General features: G+C 53.9%; 1 protein-coding gene across 20 annotated transcripts in view, besides 4 other annotated features; it reads left to right on the top strand.

Annotated features, from left to right (window-relative positions):
• SHANK2 (SH3 and multiple ankyrin repeat domains 2) overlaps nucleotides 1-15,135 on the top strand; it is a 785,381-nt gene that overhangs the window by 404,203 nt on the left and 366,043 nt on the right. The window lies entirely within an intron of this gene.
• Nucleotides 8,379-8,878: an enhancer, noted in NCBI's record as "H3K4me1 hESC enhancer chr11:70686259-70686758 (GRCh37/hg19 assembly coordinates)". NCBI's record gives its function as "activates a minimal SCP1, AML or CMV promoter by ChIP-STARR-seq in naive H9 embryonic stem cells {active_cell/tissue: H9 hESC(naive)}" and the evidence as "EXISTENCE:reporter gene assay evidence [ECO:0000049][PMID:30033119]".
• Nucleotides 12,865-13,438: an enhancer, noted in NCBI's record as "H3K4me1 hESC enhancer chr11:70681699-70682272 (GRCh37/hg19 assembly coordinates)". NCBI's record gives its function as "activates a minimal SCP1, AML or CMV promoter by ChIP-STARR-seq in primed H9 embryonic stem cells {active_cell/tissue: H9 hESC(primed)}" and the evidence as "EXISTENCE:reporter gene assay evidence [ECO:0000049][PMID:30033119]".
• Nucleotides 13,439-14,012: an enhancer, noted in NCBI's record as "H3K4me1 hESC enhancer chr11:70681125-70681698 (GRCh37/hg19 assembly coordinates)". NCBI's record gives its function as "activates a minimal SCP1, AML or CMV promoter by ChIP-STARR-seq in primed H9 embryonic stem cells {active_cell/tissue: H9 hESC(primed)}" and the evidence as "EXISTENCE:reporter gene assay evidence [ECO:0000049][PMID:30033119]".
• Nucleotides 14,013-14,587: an enhancer, noted in NCBI's record as "H3K4me1 hESC enhancer chr11:70680550-70681124 (GRCh37/hg19 assembly coordinates)". NCBI's record gives its function as "activates a minimal SCP1, AML or CMV promoter by ChIP-STARR-seq in naive H9 embryonic stem cells {active_cell/tissue: H9 hESC(naive)}" and the evidence as "EXISTENCE:reporter gene assay evidence [ECO:0000049][PMID:30033119]".

The raw sequence follows: 15,135 nt of genomic DNA, 5'->3' as shown, positions 1-15,135 counted from the left end.
CAGCATCCCTGGGCACCACTCACATCCTTCTCTGACTCATTCACGCAGCATCAAGCCTCAGAGCAAGGTCCCCCTTCACCCACTCAGAGGCCCAGCTGTCTGTATGGTGCTCAATTTGTCTCCCAGCATCATGCACTTGTTGACATTCCTGGTGGTCCTGAAACAAGCTGGCATCAGGCTTGCTTGCTCGGGGAAAGGACTGGCTCTCCCATTCTGTAATTAAGATCACAGCCAGACTGCACAGTTGAGGGTGGCTTGCATCACTGGACGTGGTACATCCCTGCCCAAGCTTCTCGGACCCTGAACTGCACACTTGCCATTTACCTTTCAAGGTAAAGGTGCTGGATTCTAGTGAGTGCCGTGGCTGCTCTGCAAAGCACAGGTCTGTGGTCAAATCGCATTGGAAGCGCTACCTGCTTTACTTCCTTCCTGGACCCTCAGAATGTACTTAAGGGCCTTTAAGGTCCTGATAAGGCCTGCAGTGCACTTTAGGGCCTTTAAGGTCCTGGTAAGGCCTGCAATAAAAAAGCCCCTTAGCTTTGTTTGATCTGGCGTTTCCCAAACATGACTGTAGAACCTATTTTGCACAGTCATCTTCAAGGGTCTCCAGGGTCCCGTGGAGCTCACTTTGGGAAGTGGCGGGAACGGGTGGGTTGATCACCCCCGCCAGGCCCTGACATTGCCCGTCTTTCAAACCCCCCACCCCACAATTCCTGGCGGCTCACGGGCAGATTCTTTTAGCCCATGCTGTAAGGCACATTTTGATAAAATAGGAACTCGTTGCTGGTATTTAAAATCAGGAGATTTCACATAAAAATCCAGAGTTCTGGCTTCTTTTTTAGGCAGCAGTGATAAGATTGCTGTCGCTAAGCCTCCGTGGAGAGAAGGCTGTCCTGAGAGGGCCTTTCGTCTTCTGTTTCATTGGCTGTGAAATGAAGCCCAGCGGACCTCAGACTCCTTTTGGGAACTGGGAATAGGTGTGGGGCCGCCCTTCCTACCGCAGGCATTGCCATGCCTTCTAGCAAGATGAAGCCACACCCCAGCTGGCTGGTCCCCTCCAGCCACGGTCACCTCAGCAGCCCTGGGCTCCCCAGGTCTCCTGTAGCCGTGAAGCCTGGGAGGACGTGGTCTCCTGGTGGTCCTCCACTGGGAACCGTCTCCAAGCCCTGCCCCCCTCTTTGGTCCAGGCCTTGCTGGGCAGGCCCTGGACTGGCTCTTGGCCCACCCCTGCAGCCAGATGATGAGGACTGGGTGGGTGGGGGCACCCCAGGCAAAGCCAGGCTGGTTCCTCTCTGTGGGGATGTGGGAGAGTTTGCGTGGTAGACTCTGCTTGTGAACTCGGAACCTGAGTGGAGTGAATTGAGAGGGAGCATGGGAAATTCAGGAGCAGAGATGAGACCCTGGATGGCGTCGCTGCTGAGCGCAGAGAGATGCTCGGGCAGGTTTTCAGTGCTGGTCCCCCGTTCCAGAGCAATTTTAAATTAATTTAAAATTCTGAGTTGGGTAGGGGGGCAGCACCCTCCCTGGCAGGGGATCTGGCAGTCAGGCACATTTCCCCCTATTTTTAACGCTGACAGCAGATCCTGGGATTGACGGTTTTGCCTCCTGGCATCACTTTCTTGCTGAGAATCTCAGAGAGGAGGCCCTGCTGCTGCCAACCCCGTCACCACCCTGTGAGACAAGGCTGCATTTGGGGGACCCCGTCTCATTAGAACCTCAACAGAATTGCAGCGGTAGGAGGCGTGGACCTCATCAAGTACAGAGTGGGCAGGAGGGACGGCCTCCCGCGGGGTGCCATGGTGGGACTCCATAGCTGAGGCCTGGAACGTAGACCTGTGTCTCTGTCTCCCTAGCACACTCCCAGGACCCTGTACTGGGGTGTGGGTCGCAGCACAGTCAAGGACCCTCGCAAGATTGATGATGGGCCGGGGCAGAGGTCCCCTCCTCTTGATGGGGGCCTCCACCTCTCCTCTGTAAAGTGATGCCATCTTGCTCAGGGATGGGAATGCCCAGGCCCCAGCTGCAGTCCTGCCCATCCTCAGATCAGAGAGCAGCAGCCAGTCCCCGTGGCAGCAGGCTCTTTTATGAGCACAGAGAAACTCTTAAATAGCACCACGGGCCTTGAACCATGCTCTGGGCCTGGGAGGCACCGAAGGCTCTCCATTGGATGACCTCGTTCATGCTCACAGCACCCAGTGGTCCTGTTCTAGCCCCCATTTTTCAGAGAAGGGTGGGAGGGAGAGTGTGGTGCTTTACATTGGAACATAGACCTCGGAGCACTGGCTCCTTCCCAGCTGTGTGGCCGGGAGCAGGTGACTGGACTATCTGTGTCATGGGGATGATGACGCTGCCTTCTGTGCTGAGATGAGGTGGCCGTTAGGCACCTGGGGTCTGTGGAGTGCTGAGAGCAGGGCTTGGGACACCAGCAGTTGACCTGTGCTTCCCAGTGTCATCCTTGTTATTGATTGACAGATGAGGCCGAGCGCAGCAGCTCATGTCTATAATCCCAGTGCCTTGGGAGGCCAAGGTGGGAGGATCGCTTGAGGCCAGCCTGGGCAACATAGCAAGGCCCCATCTCTACAAAAAATGAAAAACTAAAAATTAGCCGGGCATGGTGGCACATGCCTGTAATCTCAGCTACTTGGGAGGCCGAGGCAGGAGGATCGCTTGAGCCTGGGAGGTTGAGGCTGCAGTGAGCTGAGACCGCACCACTGCATATCAGCCTGAGCGACCGAGCGAGACCGTGTTTCTAATAATAATAATAATACTAATTTACAGAAAAATAACCTGAGGCATTGAAGGCTCAGTTGTCCTCCTAGGAACCCCTAAGAAGAGGGGTGCCTCCGTTTTCTGCCACGGTAGAAAGACCCCACCACCGGCACCCTCTTTAGCTGACTTTGCCTGGGGGTGCTGTCCCACTGGAAGCGCACTCTAGACTCTCCAGTTCGCTTTTCTGCCCTTCCGCTTTCCCAGGGACCCAGTTCAGGTCTCTCTGGGCTCGGCACCAGCCTCTGGAAACCTTGGCGGCTGCCCTTGGCCACCTGTTTCTCCAGTGTCGGGAGACGGGGAACAGCGTCTCTGGGGTGCTTTCCTCTGACGGCTCCGTTTCCTGCCCCCAGTGCGTTGCTTGTTGTTTCATTGCAGGAAGCTCGGAGACAAACACTGGCGGTTTCTATCCAGCACCACCTCTCCGGTGTCTATTTTCAGCCTCTGCTGCAAACAACTTGGAAGTGGGCTCTCCTTCTCGCTTTGTTCTGTGCTGCTTATTTCCATCTCTATGTAATTATGGGAAATGTGCATTCATTCACCCGGGGCCGTCTGTTTCATTCTGATTTTCCCTGGCTTGGCTCGTCTTTCCATCAATCAATCCTGGGTTTTATTGGCATCTCAGTGTCACCAGGTTGTCTGCCATTCCTGCCTCTGGTCTCTGGGAACGGTCTTTGTGGGTGGTTTGGAGGCATCCCCACCCATTTCTTCCAACACCGCCTCTCTATCCTCGGCACCTAAGATGGCCCCGTGCTGGCCCCGGGGCCAATAAGCACATTCCATTGGAAGTTCACGAAGCCGAGTAGGAAAAATGCCATGGACTTGGAGATTTGGAATAGGCCTGATGTTATCAGAGTCCATTTCTCTGTGAGAAGGAGAAACTATTCTGTTCTGATGAGTCCTTCAGCGTGAAATTATGTCTCCCCTAATCCACTCCAGTGGAAAGTCCTCTCATCTTTGAAGTTTATTGTCCTCTGGTTGAAACCCATTTTCTCTATACCTCATTTTAGAAAAAGATTTTCTTTTCTTTTCTTTCTTTCTTTTTCTTTTTTTTTTTTTTTTTTTTTGAGACAGAGTCTTGCTCTGTCACCCAGGCTGGAGTGCAGTGGCACGATCATGGCTCACTGCAACCTCTGCCACCCGGGTTCAAGCGATTCTCCTGCCTCAGCTTCCTGAGTAGCTGGGATTACAGGTGTGTGCCACCACACCTGGCTAATTTTTGTATTTTTAGTAGAGACGGGGTTTCAGCATCTTGGCCAGGCTGGTCTTGAATTCCTAACCTCGTGATCCACCCATCTCAGCCTCCCAAAGTGCTGGGATTACAGGTGTGAGCCACTGCACCCAGCCCTATTTTATTTTCATAAGAAGAAATTGGGTCCCAGTGATTTGGTCATATAAATTGGCATAACTCTGGTGAAAGCAATTGGCCAGACACGTGCCCAGGGCCATGGGGGCGCTCAGACCTTTTGACCTGGCATTTCCGCTCCTGGGAATGTAAAATATTCAAATGAAGAAAGGTGCCACCTGCGTGAAAATGTTCTCCGCCGTGTTATTGATCATGGGGAAAGTCGAAAAGCATCTCAGCTGGACTGAGATAATCCCTGTCTGAGGAATTTGTCATGTAAAAGAACAGCATGTATCCTCCAGGAATATTACGTAACATCCCACGAGATTACTCAAAGGGCTGCAGCAGGAGGGCCAGGTGCTCAGTGTGGGGAGTGAAGGGCAGTGCCCGGCGTGGAGCCTGTGTTTCCAACTCCTCCACTGCGGCCCCAAACCCCATGGTTCCAGTGAGTTTGTGCTATGTCGAGAAACGTGCCCAGCGTTTTAGATGATCCCCTTGTCGAGAATGCTGGCTGTGAAGGCTGGAGTAAGGATTTAGGGGGAGAGATTTTCATGCCCCGCCCCCGGCCCCCCAACCCAAATGGAAAAACGCATGGCAATTTCAGGTAGAAACTGAACAGCTTGAATGCTATTCAAGGCATGCTCTGCTGACCCAATTAGGAAAATGGGGCATTCATTAGATTTTTCTTTTTAAGCAGAGTATTAATGAGTTGAACTAATGTTGTAGGGGTGCCTGTGGCAGGGAGAACACACTGCCAGAAGAGTCCTCCTGTCCAGAGATGTGGGGAAGCCAGGCGAGGGCTGGGTGTGTGTGGATGGATGGAGGCGCCCACTCATCCCCCAGGGAGCTCCCACCACCTTGGGGACTCAGATGGGACAGGGGATGGTGCACGCAGCACAGTGTGGTCCTACCCTAGGAAAACTGAGGGCTCACTGGAGAATCGTCCACGAAGGCCGTGTCCCCAAACTGAGGAGGAAGATGAAGATGGTATGGCCACCCACCCAAGGAGATGGCATTCACAGGCCTTCCGACGGAAGCACCAGGAGATATTTGTGAACTCCTGGTCCCTGAGCACCAAATTGGGAGGGCTGGAGCAGTTCTGTTTTAGGGAAGTTGACTCGTGTGTCCTCTAAGAATCGGTTGAGCCCTGTATCAGTCTCCCGTGTGCAGAGAGCCCTGCAGGTGGGCTGGGGGGCATTCAACAGCAGGCCTCTATGTTCTCACAGTCCTGGAGGCTGGAGCTCGAGATCAAGGTGTCGCAGGGCTGGGGCCTCCTGCAGCCTGTCTCTGCGGCTTGTAGGTGCCGCCTTCTCCTTGTGACCTCACAGGGTCGTCTCTCTGTGCGTCTTTGTCCTCATCTCCTCTTCTTCAAGGACATCAATGAGAATGGATTTGGGCCCACCCTAGTGGCCTCCCTTTAACTTAACCACTGTGAAGGACTCTGCTTCACATGCAGTCCCACTAGGAGTCAGGACCTCACAATACGAATTTCAGCTCTGTCTACAGCGCCAGCCATCCATAAACTCTTCCCAAAAGCCACCAAGACTTGCTTCCCTTCCTCCTCCTGGGGCCCACCAAGCCCACCCCATAGGAGCCCAGCCCACCCCATAGCAGCCCAGCCCACCCTTTAGCAGCCCAGCCCACCCCATAGCAGCCCAGCCCACCCCATAGGAGCCCAGCCCACCCCATAGCAGCCCAGCCCACCCTAATAGCTGTCTTTGCAACCTCCCAGTCACAGTCACCACCTGAGCATCTCCACTGCAGCCTCTGCTCCCTGACCCCATGACCTGAAACCTGTACCTTCCAGCCTCAGCTCTGGGCTCACACCCCAGCCTTCCACATGCTGTGAGAGTCCAGGGTCTGCCCAGCCCGCTCTGGGAGTCTGAGGCCCAGGGTGTGGTGTGGGCAGCTCTGTGCAGATGCGAGCCACACCTGTGTTAGGGGTATGACACTGCGTCAGGGTAGTCAGATGACACGAGGGAATGGCCGCCCAGCCCGGCCCCCTGAGCCTGTGGAGTGGAAGGTTCCACCGTCCGTGTTATTCTCACAGATCCCCGTGCAAGCTCAGATGCTGAGAGGAAACCGTGTGGAGGGAGCTTCACCTCGGCCGTCTCTTGGGCCTCTGGGTGGGGAGACCCTGCGTGCTGCCTCCCACCCCCCTGGGAGCCTCCAGCAGTGTCTCCTTTAGCTTCAGGACAGGGCTCAGCTTCCTTGCCGAGTTCCATTTAAGCTGCACGAGAATCCCAGGTGGCACAGCAGGGAGCAGGACCCACTCCTGGCCGAGGGACCTAGGCTGAGGCTCATGCTCGCTCCAGGGCAGGAGCTCACGGTGCAGGGCTGCTGACCCCTCCCTGTGCCCAGTTCTCTTCTGCTTTTGAAGCTAAAGGAGCTCCTGAAAGGGACAAGTGCAGAGAGGGCCCTAGAACACCATTTGCACATGGAGAGACAGTGGCTCAGACAGGTTATGCAGCCTGGCCAAGGTGGCACAGCGAAACCCCAGTGCTGATTGAAGCAGAGTGGGCCATGGGCCTCCATGACTCATAGCTTGACCACCTCGGGGTCACCATGGTGCTGCAGAAAGGTCTGGAGCCACCCGGCAGGGAATATGCTTTATTCCCTGGAGTGTCTGTCTCTTTCCAGCATGGGTTTTGGCCCCAAGTCAAGGGAAGGCAAAACCATCGTCAAATTTTACTAAAAAGAAATTAGTAAAATGTTTAAATATTTTAATAACATAATGAGATTTCATATACTTGGAAGTAAATGCTTGGTGAGTTTTCAGATATCGCCAATATTGCATTTGTTCTGTTCGTGATTTGAACAAGCATGGGCCAAATAGCTGTGACACCCATCCAGGCTTCAGGGCGTGTGGAGTAGAGAGAGACAAGGTCTCTTGTCCTGGAGGAGCCCAGGGTTAAGGGAGAAGGGCAGTTAGGTCCCAGGAATAAGGGCAGTGACAGCACAAGGACCGTGTGTAAAGGATGGTTTGGGAGGCTGTGGGCTCTGGGGTTGTCTGCCCAGGTCGGTGACAGTAGCCAAGACTTGGAGAAGATTTGGGAGCTGACGAGCAGACACGCACAGTCAGGGTTGGGGTTGAGGCCTGAGAAGGTCTGTAGATCAGAAGTGGCACTGCATGCTTGGGTCCTGAAGAGAAGCAAGAAGCCAGGCAGGAGGAGCAGTCACGTCATCCTGGCTTTGCGGGCTGGAGACTCACCCCGATTCTGCAGTAGCTGGCTCTAGTGCCTAAGGGAGAAGCAGACGGAAAGGGGCCCCGGACCTTCCAACAGTGATCGCAGGCACCCAGGTCAAGCCAGAATTCCTGAAGAACCAAGGTGGAGACCCTCCTGGAATGTGGCACCACAGGGCTTGAGTTTCACTCTCAGCAGCTGGGTCAGCGATGGGGCCAAAGGCAGACTCCACAGGCTAAGCCCAAGCACATCTTGGCCTGGCTGTGTGACCTCCATCCAGTTGCTGACCTGCTCTGAACCTTGGACTCCTCTGCTGTGTAATGGGGAAAATGGCTGTGCCCTGGGTGGCGGTGGAGGAAGGAGAGATGGAAGCCGTGAGCTGTTGCCCTCCATGCCTGGCGTGTCACAGGCATCACCTGCTGCCACTGCCCACCTTTCACTGCGGTGATAATTGCTATTTTTTTTAAGACGGAGTCTCGCTCCGCCACCCAGGCTGGAGTGCAGTGGTGCCATCTCAGCTCACTGTAACCTCTGCCTCCCAGGTTCAAGCGATTCTCCTGCCCTAGCCTCCTGAACAGCTGGGATTATAGGTGCCCGCTACCATGCCTGGCTAATTTTGTTTTTTTTGTATTTTTGGTAGAGACAGGGTTTCACCATGTTGGCCAGGCTGGTCTTGAACTCTGGACCTCAAGCAATCCACCTGCCTCAACCTCCCAAAATGCTGGGATTACAGACATGAGCCACCACGCCTGGCCTATTCCTATATGTTTTATACACCTCTGGAAGAGATCAGAGCCAGCCAGAGTGTTTCTCAGGTGAAGTCTTATCAAGCTCCAGTGAAACACAGTCAAGTCTTGATGGCTGGGGGTGGCCTCATCAGCATCTCTTAGAAGTGCCCGGTGCTGGGATGGCTGCAGCATGAGAACCCCCACTGCAGTTCCTTGTCCCTGTCCTCGGCACCCAGGAGGGAGATCCTGAGTCTGCAGGCTCCAGCCTCCCGATATGGCCCCCCAGCCCTCCCCAGGCTCCCACTTCCTGGAAGAGCCCTGCCCTGATAGCTGAGGTCCCAAGAACTCTCCTTGGCCACTGAGCTACAGTATGTGGCTGCCGCTGTGTGCCCTTTTATTTGTGGACAGTTCAGAGGGAGAGGGCTCCCCTCCCAGGTCTCCACCTTTTGTGTCAGTTAATGCCCCTAGAATCCCAGGAGTCAGGCCCATGGACACTCTGCTCCTCTGAGGGCTCCTCCCAGACAAGGATGCTCCTCAGAGCTGAGAGGGGGGATCTTGCAGCCTGAAGGACTTTTGGGGTGCATTCTAGCCTCCTTTTGATATATGGGGAAACTGAGGCTCCAGGGAGCTGGGACTCCCAGCCAGGCAGAGGTAGCACCCAGAACACGCAGGTGGGTCTGCGGACCTGCCCTTGGGCATCTCTGCCTCATGCTCTGTAGTGTGCCAGGTGAGCTCTCACCTGCCCTCCGAGGCACCCACCCAACTACCTCCCTGTCCAGGAGTCGGGACACCTCTGGTTGGCTTTGACATTGAGGTGGCGATCACAGTGAGGCTTTCACTGCCTGGGAAGCTGTGACCGTGACAATGCCTGAGTCCTCAAAGCCCCTCACACTGTTCTTCCCAGACTGTACGCCGTCACCATGTGGGGAGTCAGCTGGTGGGCCCCACGCCCTCTGCCTTCAGCCCCAGGGCTGCATAGCTGCTGGCCGGCCGAGCCCACCTCACGCTTGACATTCCCTCCTCTCCATGTCCCTTCCCTTTGGGTTTTGGTTCTTCCTAGACTTTGAGGTTTTCTTGATGCAGATGTGGTGCCTGATATTCACTATGCTGCCAGCTCGGCCCTGGGAGGAATTTATTTGAAGGTTAAATCAGTCACTGAGCCTTAATTAGTTCCCAAAATATAAATGTGCATTTGGATTCGCTAACTAGGTGAAGAACTGAGGTGGAGAACCAGCCTCACTCAGCCGCCTGGTGAGTGCTTCCTTTTCCAGGGCGGCCTGGCAGCTTTACCGGGGACACCTCGATCTAAAAAGGGACCTCCCCTTCAACCCACCTTCACTTCCAGCCTCCTGGAGGTACTCAAACCTTACAAAAGTTGGATTCTTGTATTGAAATAAACCCCCTCCAAGGCTGTGGTCCTTTCCTGATGGGGTATAAGGAAGTCCAGGTCCAGGAGCCCAGTGGCACAGGAAGGCTGCACCTCCTGTCTGCTCAGGACTTTTTGGCTTACGTAGTCAGTGGTCCCAGCACATCCTGTTCCCCTCTCTCCTTTGACGTACCCGCCCTCTCTACCAGGGGGGTGTGTGTTGCCTCCAGACCTGGGGAGACTGCGCTGGCTGCCGGATACCACGGGCTGTGGAGTGGGGTGGGGAGGGCCACTGGCCCAGACCCGCCCTTTCCCTGAGGGCTTTCTAGGCTGAGTTACCAAATAAAGCAACCAAGACACCTCCAAGCACATGGTCTGAGTTCTGGAGCCCACATGTTTTACCATTGTCCTTAGTTTTATTTAGAATGAAAAAGTAATTTGAAGGAGCCTATTGGATGACTTCTCCCCCACTTTACTGAATATCCGCAAGTGTGTTGTATTAAATATAATTATAAATGTATTGATGAGCCCATGACTTCTGCTTTCCCATAGTGATGGAGCAGCTCATGTCAGACTAACCCTCCTGTTAATTACAGTGGCAAACGCGGGACAAATTCTATATAAACACCAACACCAGCTGCTTGTAGGCCTGGGCAAGTGGCCAAAAGCAGACAGAACTAGAGATGCTGGGACCCTTGACAGAAGAGGGGCCCCCCACCCTTGTAAGGCCCACATTAATTAGATTTCCCCTGACATAAACTGGAGTCTTACTGTGTTGTGGATTCAGGGGTTGGAGGTTGGGGTCAGAGTTGCCTGAGAGACTGGAAGTCAATAGAAATCCTGGAAAGTGGAGGGCCCTGAAGTCTACACATAAATTCCTTTTGGATTGTTGAATCGGCCTGTGCAGAGTGAGAGTCCAGGGACTCAGTGGAAAACAGTAGCTAAAAGCCCAAGTGCCTTGGGGAGACTTCAGTAATTTCTTCCACAGGAGAGATAGAGTATAGAATTGAGTCCCAGCATGTTAGAGGAGCTTGATAAACATCCAGAGCTGGAGCCACAGAGGGGCCCTAGGAGTCAGGACTCCATCCCAGGACCAAATCAACAGAGACTCCCCCAACAAAGCCTCAGATTGCACCTCCACGGGGCAAGGCATTGCACTGATAGTTTTACTACCTACTTGAAAAACTAAACACACCTCAGAGGAAGATAACAGAACCTAGAGTCTCTCCGACATAACAAACACAATGACCAGCATAGAATCAGAAATTACTAGCTAGGAAGAGAAGGAAAATGCAATGTGCAACCAAAGGAAGCCACAATTGTTAGAAGCAGCATCAAACAACCCAAGTGTTGAAGCAGGCACACAAGGACCTAAGATAACCAGAACATGTATTGATAAGCTCCCACTTTGTGCGGGGTCTTCTGTTGTGTCCTGAGCATAGAAAACTGTGTGAAGGCCCCTCCCCTGCCCCAGGTCTTCCAGAAGGCCCCAGTTGTAGGGAGGCAGTGTTCATGGTGGGAAGACATTTCACACGGTGAGGCAAACACCATACAAGTCCAGGGTGGGAGGTAGGAACGTGCCTTCCTTTTATTTATTCATTTATTGGATGAAGTTACTCAGCATGCATCTTTTTTTTTTCTTTTTTTTTTTTTTTTTTTTTTTTTTGAGACAGAATGTTTTGCTCTGTTGCCCAGGCTGGAGTGCAATGGCACCATCTTGGCTCACTGGAACTTCCGCCTCCTGGGTTCAAGCGATTCTCCTGTCTCAGCCTCCTGAGTAGCTGGGATGACAGGCACACCACCATGCCTGGCTCATTTTTTGTGTTTTTAGTAGAAACAGGGTTTCGCTATGTTGGCCAGGCTGGTCTCGAACTCTTGACCTCAAGTGATCTGCCTGCCTCAGCCTCCCAAAGTGTAGGGATTACAGGCATGAGCCACCGTGCCTGGCCTCAACGCACATCTTTGAGAGGGGCTGGGCTCTGTGCTGGTGATGCAGTGGTGATTAAGACAGACTGCACTTGTCAGCAGTTTACAGTTTACTTGGGGGAGAAAGACCATATAAGCAAACTTAAAACTAACATAACTTCAATGTTCAATAAATACAATGAAGGAAAAAGTCACAAGGGGCTAGCATAGAGATTAAGAGAGTAACCCTCTTGGACAGGATGGTGAAGGAAAGCCTCCTCATGCGTTGACCATGAGCGTGAATGCACAAGGCCTGGAGTTGGAAGCAGCCAGACATGGGGAGAGCAGGCAGAGGAATGCCAGATGGAGGGTAGGCACAGCAGGGGCAGAGGTGTGTCCAGGCCAGTGGGAGGGAGCTGACAGGGCCCGTGTGGGTGAGGGAGCATCTGGAGGAGCAGGAGCAGCAGAGACAATGGCGTAAGTCCCCTGGAAGCCTGTAAGGGGCAGTGGCCTGTAAGGGGGCAGTGGCATGCTCAGTCTGCCTGGTGTCTTCATTAGCTGCAGCCACTTTAACAAAAAATACCATAGACTGGTGGCTTAAGCGACAGAAACATTTTTCTCGAAGTTCTGAGGGAAGTCCAAGATCAAGGTGCCAGCCTTGATTGGATCTTAATTGGGTGTCTGATGAGGGCTCCCTTCCTGGCTTGCAGACGGCAGCCTTCTGGTTGAGCCCTCCCATGGTGGAGAGACAGAGAGACAGACAGCGACCAACTCTCAAGTCTCTTCTTACAAGGACACCAGTCCCATCATGGGGTCCCACCTCCTTGACCTCATCCAACCCTAATTACTTCCCAATGTCCCCATCTCCAAATACCATGACATGGGAGGTTAGGGTTTCAACACATGAATTTGGAGGGGATGTAAACCTTCAGGCCACAGGACTTGGTGACTGTAGTCAGCCTCAGATGGTCTCAGGTGCTGCTTTACGAAAGTCAGTCTGTGAGGGGAGCTGCTGGGTGGGCCTAGTGCTTGAATGTGTCCTGAGACACCCAGGCGTTGGGCAGCTGCAGTGGTTCTTTCTGTGTGGTCCTGGCATCTGCAGTCTGGCACCAAATGCCCAGGCGGTGAGGAGCCTATGAACAGTGAGCAGAGGCTGTGATGGAGGCAGGCAGGGCCCTCCAGACAGCGTCTACCCATGGGGGAGCAACAGGAACGATGTAGAGGTCCAGGCCTTGGGTGGCACCCGGGGCCACCCACAGGAAGTCCTTTCCCTCCATACCTGGCACTTTGTAAACGTTGACTTGCACAACTGCTGGCCTTCAAGACAGCTGCTGTTATTATCCTTTCTCCAACTTGCAGGCTCAGGCTCGGACAGGCACAGCCACGTGCCTGAGGTCTCAAGCAGCAAGGGTGGAAGCGGGCACTGTCCTCACCCCCAGTCTCGCCCAAGCTTTCCCTCTGTGCCCAGTGGCAGCTGTGTGGAGCCGGCCTGAGAATCAGGGCTAAGGGGCCATGCTGCTTCTGAGTGTGCAGCCGCTCAGAAAGAGGAGGCAGCAGGCACGCTCCCTTAAGGACTGAGAGCTGGGCCTTCCCCTGGCCCCCCATGGGCAAGCAGGCCATGTTGTGAAAGGGTGTCTGTGGCTGGAAACGGAGCGACACTCCTACCCACATTTCAGGAGTCCCTCCTGCACCTTGGTGGGCTCTCTTGTATGGGAGAGGAGGTGGTGGGCAGCCCACCCCAGTGTGGCTTGAGACAGGGAGAGCTGCTGCCCTGCTCGGGGTGCAGTGGGCTCGGGGTGCCCACTCCCCCAGCCTCCACTGAGGTCCGAGAGGGAGCCCACTCTGCCCCTAGATCTCCAGGCTTCTCCTGCCTGGGTTTGTCTAGCCTGTAGGATTCTCAGAGACCTCATGAGACCTCAGCAGAATGAGGCTGGTCACCCTATTCTACAGATGAGAAAACTGAGTCCCAGAACCCTGCCTTGAGTCAGAGACTGACCCAGGACTCACATCTTCCACCACCAAGCTCAGATTTCATTCTTTTTATAAGAAGCTGGAACAAAGGACCCCATCAGGTCCTGTGGAAAGAGAATGGCTCACTCCAAGAGGGGTCCTCCAGCTCAGCTCTAGTTCCTCCCAGGGACTGGACATCTCTTCTCATGGTGCAAGATCACCCTGGCCCCAGGGTCCTCCATAAGCCCCCAGCCCACTTGGCCTGCACCTCGGCCCCTGGTTGTGATTCCTGACTGAGCGGACCATGTCCCCAAGAACTGGTGGAGCACATCTCAGCACATGAGCCTCTTGACTGAGCGTCCTGTGTCCTCGAGAACTGGCGGAGCATGTCTCAGCACATGAGCCTCTTGACTGAGCGTCCTGTGTCCTCGAGAACTGGCGGAGCACGTCTCAGCACATAAGCCTCATTTTCCCCTGTGGGAGGCCCAGGTATCCACAGTCACTCAGCTCTCAGAAGGGCCACCACAGGGATGGTTCATGCTGCCCGTAAGCCATTGCACGCCCCTTGGCTCCACCCCTCCTCCTTCAGGTGTGTCCCGCACACAGTAGTGTCCTGTGCACTGGGGCTGTGGCTCTGCAGGGAGCCTGTGGCCAAGGCTGGAGCTGCGTGGAGGGAGGGCAGAGGAGGCAATGTCTGGAGGCTGTGATTCTTCTAGAATATACCTTGGGAACCCCTCACCTCTCTTTGTGGTCAGACCCACCTTCACCCTCCAGAGCTCCTCCCCGCTGCCCCCCAAAATAGCCATGTTCTTGGCCCTAAAGCTCAATTCAGGGTCAGAAAACCGGTGAGTAGTATCTCTTGGAGTTACACCCCCAGCCCCTTTCAGCTCTCCAACCAGGGAGAGAGACCCTGTGGGAGGTTCCGACGCCCGCTCCTCAGTGCCCTCACCCCGATTTTCCACGGGCCTCCCTCGATCCTGCAGGAGCAAAGCTTCCCTCAATGACTCCAGTGACGGGAACGTTACAAACACCACAGACTCCTACCTCTTTGTGCAAAGATAACCCCGCATTATTGCTGAGATGCCTTTTTATATCTTGTGTTATTTATAAAAGCATGATTCATTTAACAATTATTGTGAGATGGAGAAATGTTGCCTACTAATATTTAAATTGCAGTTATCTAAAGCTACGAGGGAAAGAAACAAGAGATGCTATTTTGGATCTGGTGGGGGATGGGCAGGAAGAATCCCGCTCTAGCTTGTACCTGCCCTGCACCTGCCACCCCTGCTCCTGGCTTGGCCCCCGCTGGCTGAGGCTCTTGCATACATACTTTCTCAGCATTCAGTCTTTGTTTCTGCAAGATAAAGTGGAGCTTGGGCTGGTGGGCCACTGAGACCGTCTAGAGTTTGTTTTCTTTTTTCGGCTCCCCATGGGCCTTCAGTCTGACCAGAGTTAGAGCCACCTCCTGTGTATTTTGTGTTAAGGTGGAAATAGGCTCAGGTGCTCCCCTGTGTCTTCCCCTGAAATATGGGGTGGGACCAGAGTTAGAGCCACCTCCTGTGTATTTTGTGTTAAGGTGGAAATAGGCTCAGGTGCTCCCCTGCGTCTCCCCCTGAAATATGGGGTGGAGCCTTAATAAATCTCCGGGATATCAGGGCATCCCCTGCCCCAGAACCCTGGGAATTTTCTTGGCATTGCTTCCTACATCCCAACATTTTATTTTCTTCCCTTCTGGTTTGGTTGTGATCACACTCAGGGTTTTGCCCAGGGTTTAAGTTGAAGGTGACGCTCAAAGCTGGCCCTTGTGCCTTCATCAACTTGGAGCTCCTTCCTGGCAGAAGGGCCTGGGTCTGAGTTACACAGAAGCAGTGTCCTGGGGAGACAACACTG

Source organism: Homo sapiens, chromosome 11, assembly GCF_000001405.40.
Source record: "Homo sapiens chromosome 11, GRCh38.p14 Primary Assembly".
NCBI lineage: Eukaryota > Metazoa > Chordata > Mammalia > Primates > Hominidae > Homo > Homo sapiens.
Note: the sequence above shows the minus strand (reverse complement) of the source record. Positions and strands in the feature narration are given on the sequence as shown.